Genomic DNA, 18,077 nt, shown 5'->3' with positions numbered 1-18,077 from the left:
CAGGAAGTCATTATGTTAAGTGAAATAAGCCAGGTGCTGAAAGATAGATATCTCATGTTCTCATCCACATGTTCTCATCCAGCTAAAGAATGTGGACCTGATGGAGGTAGAGAGTAGAATGGTGGTTACCAGAGGCTGAGAAGGGAAGAGGTTAATGAAGATAAGTTGGTTAAGGAGTACAAAAACAGAAGGAATGGGTTCCAGTATTCGATAGTACAGTAGGGAAATTATAGTTAACATTAATTTATTGTATATATCAAAATAGCTAGAAGAGAGGAATTATAATGCTTCCAACACAAAGAAAAGATTAATGTTTGAAGTGAGGGATATTCCCCTAATTTGATCATTGGGGATCATTGGGGATATTCCCCAATTCCCCTAATTTGATCATTACACATTGTATACAAATATTAAAATATCACATATACCCCCAAAATACGTACAACTATTATATATCAACAAAAAAGAGAAAAGGAAAAGAAAGAGATGTATGTGGCCTGCCAAAAACTGTGTCAGGAAAATCAATTATTTCCCTATCAGTTTCAAAGAAACTGCTCTTTCCCAAACTCAACCTAAAGTTGTACTTATATTCTCCCACATCTCCAATAAAGATCTAATTATTTTAGCATTTCAAATGTTTTAGTCATCATAAACTTTTCCTTAACTTTTTAGGATCTTATTCTGTGAAATCAGCATTACTGGTAAGATTCTCAGTATTATTAGTAAGATTCTGCATGAGCTTGTGCGATCAAAATGAGATCTCTTTCACGAAAGAGCTCAAAATGAGTAATTAAGCTACTAGAAAAAATATTTGATTTAGTACCAATAAAAATCATGTATAGGGAAATTTTAGTCAATTTCTAGTTCTCATACATAACAATAAATTAAGTTTTAAATACTTGAGAAATCCAAGTAAGTTGTGAAGGGTGTTGGAAAATATACCTTACTATAGAAAATGACACAAGCTTTAAGAAAGAGTTATCAAGAGCCACTGAAACAAACAGAAAAGCACAGTAATTCAGCCTATGAAAATCGTTTAACAATTCGAAATAGGTAAAAATCAAAATATATGTAAACAGTTTCACCAGAATAACATTCGTAACTGTAAAAATTAGAAGCAACCACAATGAAAAGGAAGAATGATCAGGAAGTAATTACAACACCATTAAGAAAAGTTGTGAAAATGATAAAGGAACCTGAAAAAATTGTTAGGATTCAATCAAAATTTTATGAAAAAGATTATCTCATATAATGTGTACTCTAAAAATAATTTCTATATATAGATATATGTCACAAATAACTAAAATTATAGCACTGGATTCGTTCATAGGTCATTTTTCTTCATCTTCTCTTTTTATAATATTTCACAATGTGATAATTAAGCCTATTTCTTAAGATTTTATTTTTGCAAACAAAAAGTATAAGTACTTTGAGACTCAAATATAGCAATACTCTTAGTGGTCACATGACATAACTTTCTGGTTAAAAATAGACACATACTTATGCACACACAATCCACCCAGTAACTAAATTGTGTGCTAGATAGATCAATAGTTTAACAAATTCTACCCAACATTTACTTAAGTTAATATACTTAATTTTTCCCACTAAAAGAGCTCTTGGACATAACTAAAGTTTTTTTTTACTATTGTCGTTTCTCTACTTTTAAATATTCCATACGTTTTCTCTACACCACCTTACAATAGATAGTATATCTGAGCAGAGATAGCTACAATCCAAATTACCCAAAATGAAAAGTTCTTGTTCTAAAATAAATATATGAACACTACAAAATGATCAGTCTATATCTTTAAAAATAGTACTGTTAAATATACATGATTATGTTGGAGCACTCTATAAACCTGTAAGAGATAAAAATGGAATAGCATTATCTGCAAATTATCCATCATTTATCATAATGAAACTGCTCAAAATCTCAAACAGAAAAAAAAAATCCTTGCCATTAAAACTAAGAAACGTCATATCTATTTCAGTAAAAATAGAGCTATAATAATTTCTTACCGATACAATTGCAGTAACATTTGCTGGCTCTCCTATCCTTTCAATGATAAGACGAATAACTGTTGTACTTGTTTCATTAACAACAAATTCAGTTTGTCCAGTAAATCTTATTTCTGTTTCTCCAAACACAAATAGGATGAGTAAAGCTGAAAGAAGATTTACTAATAAAGATGCAGAGGGCATCCCTAAAACAAAAAGAAAAAAATATTATTCACAAAATATATCTAATCTATTCTCATTAGATTGTATTGTCTATAGATATAAACATAGTATGAAGAGTTAGACAGCAAACAACTAAGACATAAATACATCTACTATTAAGCCATCAAACTCAAATATGTGACGACAGAAGTTAAAAAAACACGATTCTATTCTTACGGTTCTCTTTCTACTATTCAGAAGTACTTTTTGCTTTTTAGCTTCTATACCAAGATAATAGCTGTAAGTTAAACTTACTTATTAAATTTAGTTCATGTAAAAAATTTATTGACATCCACATTTTAAGAAAAACCTAAGCAGCAACATGGAAATTTAATTAAAGCCCATATTTACACAAATAAAACTACGAAATACCAGCCAAAACTGAAACAGTTGAAGCCAAATTTTTAGCAATAAATTGATTTCTTGGTTGGTGTCTACTTTTTCCTTAAACTTGTCTTCTTTGAGAATTTTTTAAATTCTTAGTTATTGCAAAGAAATTCTAATCCTTTCAAAGAAGGGATAAATTTCCAGGACTTAAATTTCTTTCATTTTACTAGCTAAAATACTAAGACCACGTCTAAGAAAATGTCCATGTTGCTTTAAATTTGCCAAAGTATATATTTCCTTTTTTTCCATGACAACTTTCTTTTTTTTTTTTTTTTTCACTATGATATGTGTGTTTATGAGTCATCAATACTGTTCCTACTTTCAGCACTCTGGGATTCAAGTGCTTTCCAAAGCACAACAGTGCAGTGGTCTCCTGAAAGTGCTGCTGTTTTGTAATGTAGATATACCTCTAAAAATGTGAACAATTTCCCTCACGGATCATTAAGATTCCCGTGGATCTATGTGATCATTCACACGAACATAAAAAGTTCACGTGTTTTAAAGGAGAGCTGCATTACATACTCTATGAGCCAAAATGCTTCCTATTAATCTTTACCTTGGCCAAGAAGTAATACAATTTTCTTGTATGTGGTGTTTCCACTTGGCTACACATGGCTTTATACTTAGACACGCCAAATATATGAGTTCCTGATATATTTTAGGATTTAAGTGCAATGTTCTCCGTTAAGTATATACAGACAATGCAGTCTGAGACTGCTCAATGATGTCTCACACACTTCTGACTCTAAAATCCAGACAGGGATGCCGAGTTCAAATGGAGTCCAGGAAAGGGATATAAGCTAACAGGGACAGAGATGCTGAAGGATTGGGACTTCCTTTGTACCTGTCCCTTCTCTCCAGGCAAACCTGCCAGAAGACCAATGAAATCTGAAGAAGAGTTTTCCTTGACCAGCTGCAAACTCTTCCCTGTCTTCCAACCCAGGAATGTTCATGGAAAGAAAGGAAATGAAAAAGATGAGAGAAATGGAAGGGAAAAAGCAAAGCATGTGTGAGACAGGAAAGGGGGAGCAGTTCTGAGCTAAACCAAAGCCAGGTGAAGGTCTTTTATGGAATTCTAAAGCCAGAATGATTTCACATCCCACTTAGGACAAATAGTGGCAAGGAAATGAACAAGGTACAATGAAGAGAGCACAAAATGGAAGAGGGAGAAGGTAGTAAACTAGGCTTTGAATGTGAAAGAAAAAGATCAACTACAATCTACTGTGATTTTGAAAGAAAAATCTACAGTCCTTGAACAGGAGACGTGACAGAACCATGAACTGAGAGAAATAAGACATCTGAAGTGCAATGTGAGACAGAGTGAAAGTGAAATTACAGCATGAGTAGAGGGAATCATGAACAAGTAAGAACAGTTCTCAAAATCTGTCCTGCATTAGGATCACCTCAGGCATTTGTTAAAATGCTAATTCTCACTCTCAAAAATTCTGATTCAGTGAGTCTAAAGTGAGGACCAGGAATATGCATTTAACAAGTAGCCCTATTAATTCTGATCCAACTCATCCTTGGTATAATTCACTTTGAGAATTACTGTCCTAGAGTGTGAGGAATCGTGTTAGAAGTGTGTCTTGGAGTGAACATACAAAAGGCCAAATTTGTAGTTATGAGTTAACTACTGAACTTTTCAATGCTATATGTGCGAACTTCCTCATATGTTTTTTCATATTCTGATATTGCATTTTAAGATTTTGTGCATTCGGAAGAAAAACCGTAATGACTTTTACAGAGTGATCATAACAGCAAATGCTTATATAAGCACTGTTTTAAGGTACTTTATATACATTAACACATTTAATCCTTACAATATCTCTATGAAGAAGGCGAGCATAGCATTAGTACCATTTTATAGCTGAGAAAACTAAAGCAGAGATGGGTTAGTCAACATATGCAATATTATTCAGTTAAGTGGCTATGTAGGCTTTGGAGGCTAACTCCAAACTCTCTACCCAATAACCACACTGTACTGCCATTTACATTTTATTTCAACAAATCACACATCACCACCTTGAATAATATGATAGATCATTTATGCTACGTTTCCAAGCATTCAGATATTTCAAGCTCATGCACAATAACCAAAACTCTCATAAGATTGCATAATTATGAATCTCCTAAAAGTTTCACTTTATTACTCTAATAAACATTACATTTATTTAAATGACACTACAGCTCTCTTGACTACTTTAAATATTTAACAGCATCTTTTTATGTCAGGACCAATGAGCTCAAATGCTGCATTCTTACAGTTTCCCAGGCAATTAGAGCTCCAAGATCCTGTGTTTAAGTCAGTAAATTCATTTTAAATTGGTCCCCATCAGTGAGTTTTGATTATGCAAAATGAGCACACAGGCATGATTGGAAATGCCTCAAATTCTGTGACATCATTGATAATTGCATCTCCTTTGCTTTCATCTTTTCACACTGTATGAAAAGTTGTTCGGGCAAAGTTGGCATTCAATAGAATTTAAAGATTAAAAAAAGCTTTGAAAATGAAGTTCCCATTAGAAGACAGGCATAATTACACAAATGCTGAATAGTTTATTTTTTAGAGTAGCTAGGTACACTTTCCTCTATCACACTAAAAATCTAGTCTTTGGAATTCCCTTTTTTTAAATTAAACTCAGAAGACAAGGCATTAGTAATTGACACAGCACATAAGTCTTAAATCTATTTTAGGTCATTTTTTTCTCTTACTAGATTTAACAAAATTTTTTCATGCCCCATCAGACCACTTATTTTTAAACTTCTCTATAAAATGAATTTCAAACATATGTTTTAAGATCATGATGTGCGTAATTTGTATTCTGTTGCAACTGTGAAAGAATAATTTTAGCATCACTGACATCATTCCTCTTCTCTAATGGGATGATATTCCAATATTCAAATCCTCTCATTTCCAGCTATCATCCATGTTCTTCTCCCACCTCTCACTTTTGTTTTGTATGATTCAAAAGAAATTAAAACTCTTTCTTCCACTATATCCCTTATCTCTTAATAGATCTCTTAGCATGCTAAGATGATATGTAATTTAATTTCTTGCTTATTTCCTGAATTCTACTGTGAGGTTCTGACAGAGTCCTGATAGCACACAGGCAGAAAGTCTCAAATTCTTGAATTCTAGTAATCATATTCAGTCTCTCCAACAAGTCACCTAATTTTGCTCCAAAAAAATTTCAGAATTAAAATCTGGACTATATTAGACCAGCTCTTACAATGTAAAATGGTTGTTTTCAGAAAAGCAGCTTACAGTTTAACATAACATTTGTATATTGTGTACCTGTACATCATGCAACGCCCTGTGCTCATCAATCACCGAGAACACAAAGATACTTAAAATATGTTCCTTGGCTTAAACAGAGTCATAGGGTTGGCCATTCAGATCAGGTCAATCAAAGCCAAGAAGACAGAAGACACAATTAGGAGACTTTCCTTTAAGCATAAGAATGGAAATTCCCTCTACCACTGTATTTGGGATTGTGATAATTGGGGCAAGTTCTCCCACAGTCTGGAAATGAAACAAACACAGCCACAGAGCCAAGGGGATGAAAGGAGCCACATTTTGATAATCAAGCTTAAGCTCTTGAATCCAGCTTTATCCTAGAGTTTTCAGTTTCTGAGACAATAAATTACGTTTTGTGCTCTAGCTGGCTTGGGTTGGGTTTTCCGTCACTTTCAACATCAATATTTATCCGCCAATCTCCAGTTTGTGATACTGCAAACTCATATTAGGATAAACAAAGTGGAAAGTCCCCTCTGTCCCACTCTAACATTCAACAGTATTATTCTTCTCTAAGGATTCATGAAAGGACACCACGCTAGCTATCTTCTGTTCCCATGCAATTATTACCACCATCTGTACTCACAGTCTAATATTTTCCCCTCCACCTCAAAACTGGTAATGACTAATAAGACACTTAGACAAACTAAGGATGTCTTCAGAATAGAACACAGCAGGACAAGAGTGTACCATATTGACTCAGTGTCCTGAAAAAGCTAAGCCCCTTCTGATTGTCACCAAGGAACCCCAATATCTTGCTTCTTTACATTAGTCTGACATTAATTTATTCCTATTGCTGTTTCCCACGATGCTTTATTGTTCCTGTTTAAAAACCTACTCCTATTTTCCCTACTTTATTTTTTACCTGGATTACGTAGCCCATAAGAGCATCAAATATTATAAAATTCATCAACAACGTGTCATTATAAGCAATAAATTCTAAATCCTGTTTATCTAGGACAGTACCTTCCTCCCATCTTGACTCAAATAAATGATGGGCACCTTAGGAAATGTAATAGGTATAGCATATTCTGATTAAAAGGAAAGAGTCAAAGAGTCTTTTTTTCTATGTCTCAATAACTATATAGAAACGGAGTAGAATAAGGAAGAGAGTAAAATAAATGAGAATTAGGACCCAATAGAAGACAATGAAAGAAAGTCATAATTCAATTAATTTTGCATTAATCGACTTCGATTAAAAATAAAACCTTCCCTCAATTTGAAAGTTGACTCTATCTCTTTACATTTCAGAATAAACAACTGTACAGTATCTATGAGTGATGGGACAAGGGCCTGAAAAGACAAACATTACTAGTGCAGAATTGAATGAACGCATTGACCTTATTAGCTTCATCTTTTACCTTGTCAATGCCATAGCAAGCATCTTCCCATGGTGTGACCACCAGGTAATTAATACTGAAAATATGATCCTAAAGGAACAAGGTTTTCAAGTTTAGAATTACTTGAATTCTATTACATCTACTAAGGGGCATTCTAAAACTATAGAATTACTCCTGTGGAACAAGAGAAGCTTCATCATTCCTATCATCAATTATTCAGCTTCTAAGCATTCTTAATCTGTCTTATTTGTATTTGGCAAGCACCACCAAAAAAAAAATGATCTTTGCCCTCTCCCAAACCAAAACAGAATTTAAATTTACAACTTTCAAAAGCAAAGTACTCTAATGTTACAAATAGAGTAAGTGCTAAACATTTTTAAAGTAATAAATAAAACGAATAGTCTCTTACTCAGACTGTAGTTAATGTTATTTGTCTTTATTTTTATTTATTTTTAATTTATAAGAAATACATTTTATTTTATTCATCTTTAAATAACTTATATATGCATGTGGCATAATATTTAAAAGGAATAAAAAGATAAACAGTAAAAAATAAGCCTCCCTCACAGTACCCTCCACCAGCCATATGCTGCTCCTACCCACAGTCAATCCCAGTTATCAACTTCATTTATATCTCTCAAGAGATTGTTTATGTGTGTACATATATACAGAAATATATGTATTCCTACAGAAGACAGACTATAGAAATCAGCACACCTTTCCAAGATGTTAGTTAACAAAGGAATACCAGACTTCCATGTAGACTTTCCTGTTGGGAATATGTTTATTGTCTCAGATACATACCATCAACATTGTATCTCTCATCAATAAAATGCCAGTTTCCATTGACTTTCACTACACCCATCAATTCACTCTTGGGGAATAGTTGACACAATTATGGTAACTTGCACTTTCCTAGACCACATATTATCAAACCTACATCAATCAAAAGTGGTTGCCCTCTACACATGATGGGCAACAGTCATCCTGGGATCCTTGTTTCTATCATCCTGGAATCTCTTTGAATCCTTTCCTGTGTTTCATCCTCTGTTTGTTAATCCCATGTTTTCTTCTTCCTTAGTAGTTTATTTGGTTTATTCCCTTGTTTTGATGGAGAACACCCTCCAGTCACAGCCTGAGAAAGCTTATGTAAAGATAAATGTTTTAGGTCTTGTATGTTAGGCATTATCACAATATTATCCTTCCACTTAACTAAAGGTTTAATTGAGTATAGAATTGTAGGTAAAAATAATTTTCTTTCAGAATTTTGAGAGCCTCAGTCCATTGTTTTCAAACTCCTAGTGTTGCTACTAAAAAATCTAAAATTGTTTTGATTCTAAAGTGTTTGTGACCCGTTCTGATTGTTTGTGTTGTCCTCCCTTTGGAAGGTTCTTCTCATTGTAAAGTGTTCTGAAACTTCAGAATGATGCATCTTGGAATTAGTTTATTCTTGTCCATTTGGATGAACACTCTGTAAATTCCCTTCAATGTGCCACTCATAACCTTCAAACGGACAAAGTTTCCTTTATTATTTCACAGTGATTTCTGCCCCCACTCCATTTTCACTGATCTCTCTCCTAGAACTCCTATTATTTCACACTGATATTCTGAGGATAGTTTTCTCATTTCCTTATATCTTATTCCTTATATCTTAATTACCGATTCTTTGATTTTTGCTCTGCTTCCCAAGAATTTAATTCATCATCAAATTTCAATTATCCTACTATTTTTAAATTTATGCTATCGTTTTCAATTTCTAAGAATTTAACAGTATCCTGTTATTTTTCCATTAATCCAATGATTTTGTAAAGTATCTTAGAAAATACTGATTTTAAAAAAAATCTTCCCTCTTTGTATTCTTTGTTACCTCTAAATTAACAAAAATAATTTGTTATTTATTCTGGAATCTGTCTTCTATATCTGGTAATTCTTCATCATCTATATATACTTAAAATTATGAGACTAAACTGATGACTGGGATGCTCTGAATATATGGATCTTCATATCTTCATATGATCAAGGATAAGTGACCAAAATAATACTTGAAAGTTCTGAGCATGTGCAGAAGGATGTGGCTTGTCAACTTTCAGTGAACGAGTGAACCACTTATTAGAAAGTCCCAATTTTAGTATCTACAGAAAAAACTTTACTCTTACATTGATCAGTTTCCCCAAAGAAGAATCTTCCATTCTCCCACCTAAAGGGTACAGATATAATTACCAGGACATCTGGGACCTAGTAGAAGGGGGTAAAAAACTGGAGTCTCTGAATTCGATCATCATATGGTCACTTAATCCCCTGTTTTATTTAGGGATCCTAACCCACAAACACGGCTCACATCATCATTCAAGAGATCCTGTTTTACCTTTCCTGGAGAATGAACACCAGATTTGGAGGGGTAAGCAGGGGGTCAGCAGCAGCACAGGATGGAAGGGATGATGATTTTAAGGATCTCCTGCAGCAGTTTTCTCCCCACCTAGTTGCTCACTCACCACCAAAGTTTTAAAGGTACCTGATACTATTATTTCCTGTGCCTTTAGTGGCTATTCTGTATAAATTTGGCTATTTCTCAGCCTCCTAGCTTACTGCTAAGCTTTCTTGGATCTGCTAAGAGAATCACTACTCATCCATTTGCCTTCTGGCTCCAAAACTGAGTTGCAACTGTTTCCTCTCGCCTTCCTTTTGTCCTTGCAGGTTTCTCTAATTGTTTGAAAACCCTTTTCTGTAAAGTGCTATATTAAAGGTAACTATCTGAAGGTAATAGTTAAAATTCTATACCCAATGAAACTATTAGTTAAGTGGAAGGATAATATCATGATAATTCCTAATATAAAAGACCTAAAACTTTTGTCTCTACATACCCTTTCTCAAGATGTTACTGGAGGGAGTTCTCCATCTAAACAAGGGAATAAACCAAGTAAACTAAGAAAGAAGAAAATATAGGATCAGCAATCAAGAGTCAAACACAGCAAAGCATCAAAGGAAATCCCAGGATGATATAAAGGGGAATACCAGGATATCTACTGCCCCCTAGGTGTAGAGGGCAACCACTTTTGATTGATGTACGTTTCACAACATGTGGTCTAGGAAAGTGCAAGTTACCATAATTGTGTCTACCCTTCCCTGGAGAATGAATGGATAGGTGTAGTGAAAGTCAATGGAAACTGCCATTTTATTGATGAGTTCTACAATAATTATGGTGTGTAGCTGAGACAATAAATAAATTCCCAACACGAATGTCTACCTGGAAGCCTAATATTCCTCTTTTAAACAATGCCCTTTTGTTTCCTTCTTTGTAGTTGTCGCTATTTGCATTTATTGTGTTTCTCTCCTTAGAACAAAAACACCTGCAGGACATTGAGCTTGCCCATCTTGAATAGCTTTACCTGTCCACCACCTAGTACAGTCCCTGGTATACAATGACCCTCAAGACATGCTTATTTAATGAAAAAACAAGTAAAGAAATAGATTAACCCACCATCTTAGAGTAATGAGAAGGTAGGAAAAGCATGGTATAGAAAAAGAAAGCAAGAGACTCTCTTCATCCTCCCTTGCCTTATTTAGTTTTGTCAGATTCAGACAAACACAGTTATTTTACTCTGACAATGGCATAGGCACAGACATGAGGCTAACGTCTGATTATTTTTTAAGAAAAAGGTATCCCAAGCTTGAATACAAGCCAAAAAGTAGTGTGTGGACTATGCTTTTAATGATCATACAAGGCACAGACCACTCAATAAAACACACTTAGTTAAATCAACAATTGTTTACCATTGATAAAAGATCTCAGACTTAGTGAAGTCACATGTAAATTGGGAAAAATTTGTCCTATAAAAGTGCAAGTACTTTCTTTTTCTTTTTTTTTCATCATCCTTTTACTTGGCTGAAAAGTGCAAGTAATTTTTGTACAGTGAAACATATAATCCATAAGTTACAGCTTTATTTCCCGGTAGGATGTTAACCAGTTTTACATCTCACCCAGAAACCTTACCTTATCATTTCTTTATTAATTTTCTTGTAAATATTTTGTTCCAAAAATGCTTTTTGCACCAGTATTAACACTCTATTAGTTTCCTCACTAACTAATGGGTTGAATAAAATCTTGACATGTTCATTTTATATTTGTGTGAGAGTTACGCTTGTAAACTTTCAAAAAATGTACCTACACACAATAATTTTTTCCAGAAAAGTAACCATGATATCACAAATTGCCATGGTACATACTAAGACTGATTCTACAATGGCCATTTCCATGAACAATAATGCAGTACAGACAAATACTTCCAGGAAAAGTAACATTTTACATAACAGAAACAGGGCAAGTAAATATCTGATCTAATACACAAAGTTTTTTCTATTTTTTTATCTTTTTTTTTTTTTTTTAAGACGTAGTCTCGCTCTATCACCAGGCTGGAGTGCAGTGGCGCGATCTTGGCTCACTGCAACCTCCACCTCCCGGGTTCAAGCGATTCTCCTGCCTCAGCCTCCTGAGTAGCTGGGACTACAGGCACGTGCCACCACGCCCAGCTAATTTTTCTATTTTTATTAGAGACGAGGTTTCACCATGTTGGCCAGGATGGTCTCAATCTCTTGACCTCATGATCCGCCTGCCTCGGCCTCCCAGAGTGTTGGGGTTACATAAAGTCTTTTAACTCATGTAACTGAACTTCTGATTTCTATCTTCTTTCTAGAATATTTAAGCTTGACATTTTCCATGAGCTCATGTACTCCCGTTTGCATGAGTCATCAAAAAACAGATCACAAAAGCCATTCGAGCTGTTTATATTTGGACTACATATGCCCACCATGGAAACAGGAAGAACAGTGTAGAGAAGCTTTAATTCCAGAGCTCTGTGGAGCTCTAGAAGATTATGGGTTTCAATTGTGCTTTCTCTCTCCCACATTTGCAAAGCACAAAATGAAAATCTCACTAATCTAAATCCTTTGAGGCCAATTTAGAAGCAATAAAATAAGTCAAAGTTTGCTCATATAGGTTATAAATCTGAGTATGTGACAGTGTCTCTGTCAAGTAGTAAGATAACTCTTGTCTTTTAGGTCCTTTAAAAAATAAGGATCACATGTTTAACTAAGATTTCTTAAACCACCATTAGATGGCACCCGTCTGTCTAAAAAAAAAATCAACAGCAACAATTTCACATATTATGAAGCGGTCTTAAGGATCTAAGGATAGATTTTTGACCCCTGTAACTCTTCTCAAACAAACGTAATTTTGTAATCCTACATAGATCTTAAAAAGTCATGAAAAGCAGTTTTCTTGAAATTAAGATCTCACTGAAAACAACTTTAATTAGCTCTAGTCAAACAAAATTTTTTTTTTCTCCTGAAATTCAGTAGTATTATCTAATTTTTAAAAATTGTTTCTTTGGATACTTTCTGTGAGTTTCTTTCTCTTCATTGAAGACAGTCTGTTTTTATTGAAGAATCTAGGTGCTTATGCTTTCTAAATGAATTATTTGCACTCACTGCCAGTAAGAAAGAAAGCAAAAGAGGGAATTTAATGTTACAAACCCAGATGCCTAGAGATATGTGTTTTTTAGTCCAAACTGTGATTACAAAACAATACTAAAAGATCATTTTTGCCAAGATTTAAAATTTGTAGATTTCACATTTTAAAAAAATGGATGTCTAGATTATTTTGAAAAATTACCAGAATTGGCAAATCTGGGTCCACATTTCTCCATGGCATCCCTTGCCTGGAGCTAAGCAGTAGCTGCCAGTTAGACAGAGAATTTGCTCTCCTATACCCTCCTAATGTCTCCTCAGACTAGGGTCAAAGAGGAAAGTAAGAAATTTCTTATCTCCATGTCATTCAGAGGCGGAAAACCAGTTCACAAGGTGGTGAGCGTGCATGTGTGTGTACGTGCCTGCACACACGTGTGTGCAGGCACGTACACACACATGCACGCTCACCACCTTGTGGAATGCCTCCATGCAGTGTCCCAGGACTTTGATTTCATAGGACAATGGGAAGAATTCCTGGCAGTACCTCCATGGGCATCCTAACACAGATGCCATGAAACCTTTAGCTGGACACTGCAAGTGCCTCCTGGGGTGTTGGGCCCCAAGTCACCTCCAAAGCAGGAGGCAAGCATTGATTCCACTCAGCTTTGGGCTCCAATCTAGTCTCTGCCATCTTCCCAGCTGTAGAAGTTTAGACAAGTCACTTCCCTTCACATGGCCTTGAGTTTCCTCAATTGCTAAAGGGAAGCAAAATGAAAAGCTACAGCACTGAGGTAGTCATGAGGCCCAGGGGAGGGAATCCATCTCTGTGCACCATGAAGTGCCAGTTTCTAGGCTGTAGACCTTCAATCTCCACATGGTCAAGAGACCAAAGGAAACAGCATTGGGCATCCTGGACTGTCTTATATGAGCACCACCCATACATCCACAAGCTCCTGCCTACCCTCCACAGTAGCAACATTAGAGTGAAGGAATGTTTGAAGTAGATGGAAACATTGAGAACTTAGGAAAGTTTAAAAGAACAATGAAAACTCATCATGGACTTCAAGGTCAGAAGAGAAATGAATTACAACACTGTATGTGAAAGAACAAAATGTTGGGGCTTCTGATGTTCTGGATGACCCCCAAAATTTGAACCACAGTATCCGCCACCTCTACACACTGCAACTGGCATGGGAAGCACAGGTAGAGGTCTGGGAACTTGGCAGATGCCTACCCTCCCAGCTACATGTATGATCTCAGAGAAGGAGAACAGTACTTTTCATGGTTAGAAAAAAAAGTTTGTATTTCATCTGTAATAATTTGTGGTTCCTCCAGGTTTAGAAAATAAAAAGGAAAAAGAAATGATAGAAACCAAAAGTTAGATCAAGAGGCCCTGAAAGTGTTTTGAAATGGAAACCACTGCCACACCACTTTGCATGTGCCCAGTCTTTCTTCAGGCTTAAACACCACAAATCTTTTAACCACCCAGCTTCTGCTGAGCCACCACCATGTCTATTAATCATTTCTAAAACACAACAGAAATACAAAGCATAATACAATTTGACTAATTAAAGTCAACACTTTATTCCAGTTTTCTTCGTTTTTAGCTAATTTTCTTTTTCTGTTCCAGGATCACATCCAGGACACCACATTACATTGGGTTGTCATGTTTCCTTGGGCTCCTTTTGGCTGTGACATTTCCTCAGAGTTTTCTTATTTTTGATGACTTTGGCGCTTTTGAGGAATGTGGTCAGGTATTCTGTAGCATGTCCCTCAGCTGGGATTTGTCTGATAACTTTCTCATGATTAGACTGGGGTTATGGGTTTTGGGGAAGACCAAAAAGGCAAAAAGACTTTCTCATCACTTATACAAAAGGTACATACTATCAACATGACTTATCACTATTGGTGTCGAGCTTGGTTACCTGGCCGAGGTGGTATTTGTCAGGGTGCTCCACTGCAAAGTTACTCTTGCCCTCTTTTCCATACCAACTACTTTGGAAGGAAGTCATTATGTATAGCACCCCTCTCCCCTTTCGAAAATTTCTTACTGTTTTCCGTTAAATCAAACAAACTTACTTCCTTCCATCTATCTACCGACATATTAAAAACTGTACCAGGCATCGAAACATTGTCAGGATGTTGTATTGTAAATCTGCAGAATTTGGGAATGGAATCTAATTGGATGATGAATAGGATACACATACGGGAGTCTAAAAGAATTAATGGAATACAGGATCATTACAGCATACATTTATGGAGATGTGTTGCCAAAAGGCTAATTAACAATTTCAGATTTTCCTCTTCAAATATTCTCTGAAATCATGTGTCTACGTTCATTATTTCTTCTGTTAATAAGGCTCTTGATCATAATGTTCCAGGCTGTAGTGATGCCTGTATACCCTTATTGTCCAAGCCTCCAGCAATCCCCAAATGACTGCTGGTTTTTACTATATTTCCTTGGCTTCCTCAAGCAATTATAGCCTCCAGCAGTATCACTTGCAAACCACTTTCTAGCCATTAAAGCTATAAACTGTTACCCAGAATTTAGACTAATTGGCCAGTTGGATAATTCCAATCTTCACACTGAAAAAAATGCAGCAGAGCCTAGCATCTATGCCCTTAGAGTACTCTGATACTTACCAGCAGGGCAACTATGAGCAGGCTGTTAATGTTTGAGTCTATTGTTAACGTCTGAGTCTACTTCCTCTTCTGTAAAATGAAGTTATAAGACTACTGACTTTATTTGGTTATTTTGATCTGGGATTAAGTCCAATGTTTTTCTGTTTTCTAATTCATCAATTTCATTTTTAATCTTTATCAATTCTCTATCCTGATTGGTTTAGTACGGTATTCTTTTAAGATTCATAAATTGAAAACCAAGTTACTTTTTATTATTTAAAAGATACGGTTTTGCTTCATGTATAGTTTTGGCTGCATCTCAGGTTTGGTAAGTGGAGTTCCTAGTGGTATGATATTCTAAAAAGTCTGTTATATTATGAAATTCTAAAAAGCCTATTGCCACAGATATGAGTTCCTATTTAACACAAGGCTTATTTACAAGAATTCGTTTTCCCTTGCTGCTTTTTTTTTTTTGAGATGGAGTTTCACTCTTGTTGCCCAGGCTGGAGTGCAACGGCGTGATCTTGGCTCACTGCAACCTCCACCGCCAGGTTCAAGTGATTCTCCTGCCTCAGATTCCTGAGTAGCTGGGATTACAGGCATGCACCACCACGCCCGGCTAATTATTGTATTTTTTAGTAGAGACGAAATTACTCCATGTTGGTCAGGCTGGTCTTGAACTCCCGACCTCGGGTGATCCACCCGCCTCGGCCTCCCAAAGTGCTGGAATTACAGGCGTGAGCCACTGCGCTCGGCCGGGTTTTCCCTTGCTTCTAAGTGAAAGGATATTTTGAATGTTTTTTTAATGCATCTTTTTTTTAATTTTTGTTTTTAAAAAGAAGTAGGTCTTTATTTAATTTTGTTCACAATGTGCTGTTTTCTGGTTCTCACTTTCATTTATTACTTTTGACACAAAATGGAATTGTGTGAATTTACCAATGATATGAAGAAAAATAAACATTTTATTATTCTGGCTAAATATGTGGCAATTCCTCAAGGATCTAGAACTAGAACTACCATTTGACCCAGCCATCCCATTACTGGGTATATACCCAAAGGATTATAAATCGTGCCACTATAAAGACACATGCACATGTACGTTTATTGCTGCACTATTCACAATAGCAAAAACTTGGAACCAACCCAAATGTCCATCAATGATAGACTGGATTAAGACAATGTGGCACATATACACCATGGAATAGTATGCAGCCATAAAAAATGATGAGTTCATGTCCTTTGCAGGGACACGGATGAAGCTGGAAACCATCATTCCCAGCAAACTATCACAAGGACAGAAAACCAAACACTGCATGTTCTCACTCATAGGTAGGAACTGAACAATGAGAACAACTGGACACAGGGTGGGGAATATCACACCCCAAGGCCTGTTGTGAGGTGGGGGGAAGGGGGAGGGATAGCATTAGGAGAAATACCTAATGTAAATGACGAGTTAATGGGTGCAGCAAACCAACATGGCATATGTATACCTAGGTAACAAACCTACACGTTGTGCACATGTACCCTAGAACTTAAAGTATAATAATAAAAAATATATATGTGATGCTCAAATGAATTAGGCAGAGCTCCGGAAGATCACTTATGGTCCAACTAAGTACTACCTCTTTCCCATTTGCAAGGTATTTGCGTGTCATATTATCTATTGTCACTACCAGGAGCCATTTACCAAACTAAAACAAGATATTTAATATTTTTTAGACATTCAATCCCTTCAATTAACAATTTTCCACAGGGCCTCAAGGACTGTACAAAATTATATTAAAATAAGAGCCTTAATTTGCAACCAAAATACCTGAACATGCTCTATTATTCCCCCAACTTCTACAATCCTCCATCAATTTGAAACTTGTAAAACCTAAGCCTGGATTACAAACATTTCCATCCCAGGAAGTTTGAAGCCAATGACTTTACAGTATTATTTCTCCATCCGCCTCATACACATTGAACTTGTGAGATTTCATGTCATCTCGGTATGCTACGATGTTTTGTCGATATGCTTATATCTCTAAGGAAAAATCTCTGAGATTGGGCTTCTCTGGCTTCTTAGTTACACAGAAGTTTATAAATAAAAAAAAAGATGATAAAGCCTAAGATCAATTTTTAATGACTTTCTATAATGCTTGATAAGATTACAAAAGCATTTATCAATCAGGTAAAAACCAAATGTGAAAATACTCTTTGCTAAATCCATTGAAGATTGTTAAGTACCCTCTAGAAGTAACACTAACTCCAGGGTAAACTCATTTCAGACTGATGTATTTAGTGATAAAAATGTTAATAACAGCTATCAGAACATTTAAAAATTCCATGTCAAGGGATGAAAATTTTCTAGTTTAGGGAATGCCTAAGAGTTTATCAATAACTGATCATTTAGATGGGTGAGAGCTGTATAAAACATTTTGTAAAATTTTTTATTTAAAATTTTAAATAAGGTATTCATTAGGTTTGATTTAAATTCATCTTTGCAGAGAAGTGAATGCCTAATACTATATTGGCTTTACTTTTTTGGCTTTCACGAACATACTTTGTAAGTACACCTGTGTTTTTCTCAATGCATTTACTCTAACCATCTAATTTCTTTTCTTACCTTAAGCCTCTACTCTTTGGGGGTTTTTTATGGCCATGAGCTACTACCTACACATATTCCAAAATTAAATGTTTCTCTTCTTTTCTCATTCTTAAAGGATTTGGTGGGTTTTTTTGTTTTAAATGCAGCCCAAACTGTG

The 18,077-nt window shown here is 35.4% G+C and overlaps 1 protein-coding gene across 14 annotated transcripts in view, besides 2 other annotated features; it reads right to left on the bottom strand.

Moving 5' to 3' along the window:
* The window catches only part of ADGRV1 (adhesion G protein-coupled receptor V1), a 605,641-nt gene that overhangs the window by 547,396 nt on the left and 40,168 nt on the right, over positions 1-18,077 (bottom strand). For all 14 annotated transcript variants that reach the window (NR_003149.2, XM_017009963.3, XM_017009969.3 and 11 more), the window contains exon 2: positions 2,023-2,207. Coding sequence is in view for 13 of the 14 variants with exons in the window: in XM_017009963.3 (XP_016865452.1) it covers positions 2,023-2,207 (185 nt within the window). In the remaining variant the exon portion in view is untranslated. The remainder of the gene's footprint in view (positions 1-2,022; positions 2,208-18,077) is intronic.
* Positions 3,835-4,034: an enhancer, noted in NCBI's record as "active region_22781". NCBI's record gives its function as "activates an Ori minimal core promoter by ATAC-STARR-seq in GM12878 lymphoblastoid cells {active_cell/tissue: GM12878}" and the evidence as "EXISTENCE:reporter gene assay evidence [ECO:0000049][PMID:35858748]".
* Positions 11,707-11,905: a silencer, noted in NCBI's record as "fragment chr5:89900954-89901152 (GRCh37/hg19 assembly coordinates)". NCBI's record gives its function as "represses an EF-1alpha promoter that drives an FKBP-Casp9 reporter gene in an ReSE screen in K562 erythroleukemia cells {active_cell/tissue: K562}" and the evidence as "EXISTENCE:reporter gene assay evidence [ECO:0000049][PMID:32094911]".

This window comes from Homo sapiens, chromosome 5 (assembly GCF_000001405.40).
Source record: "Homo sapiens chromosome 5, GRCh38.p14 Primary Assembly".
Lineage (NCBI taxonomy): Eukaryota > Metazoa > Chordata > Mammalia > Primates > Hominidae > Homo > Homo sapiens.
The sequence above is the reverse complement of the archived record's forward strand: the minus strand, read 5'-3'. Positions and strand labels throughout refer to the sequence as shown.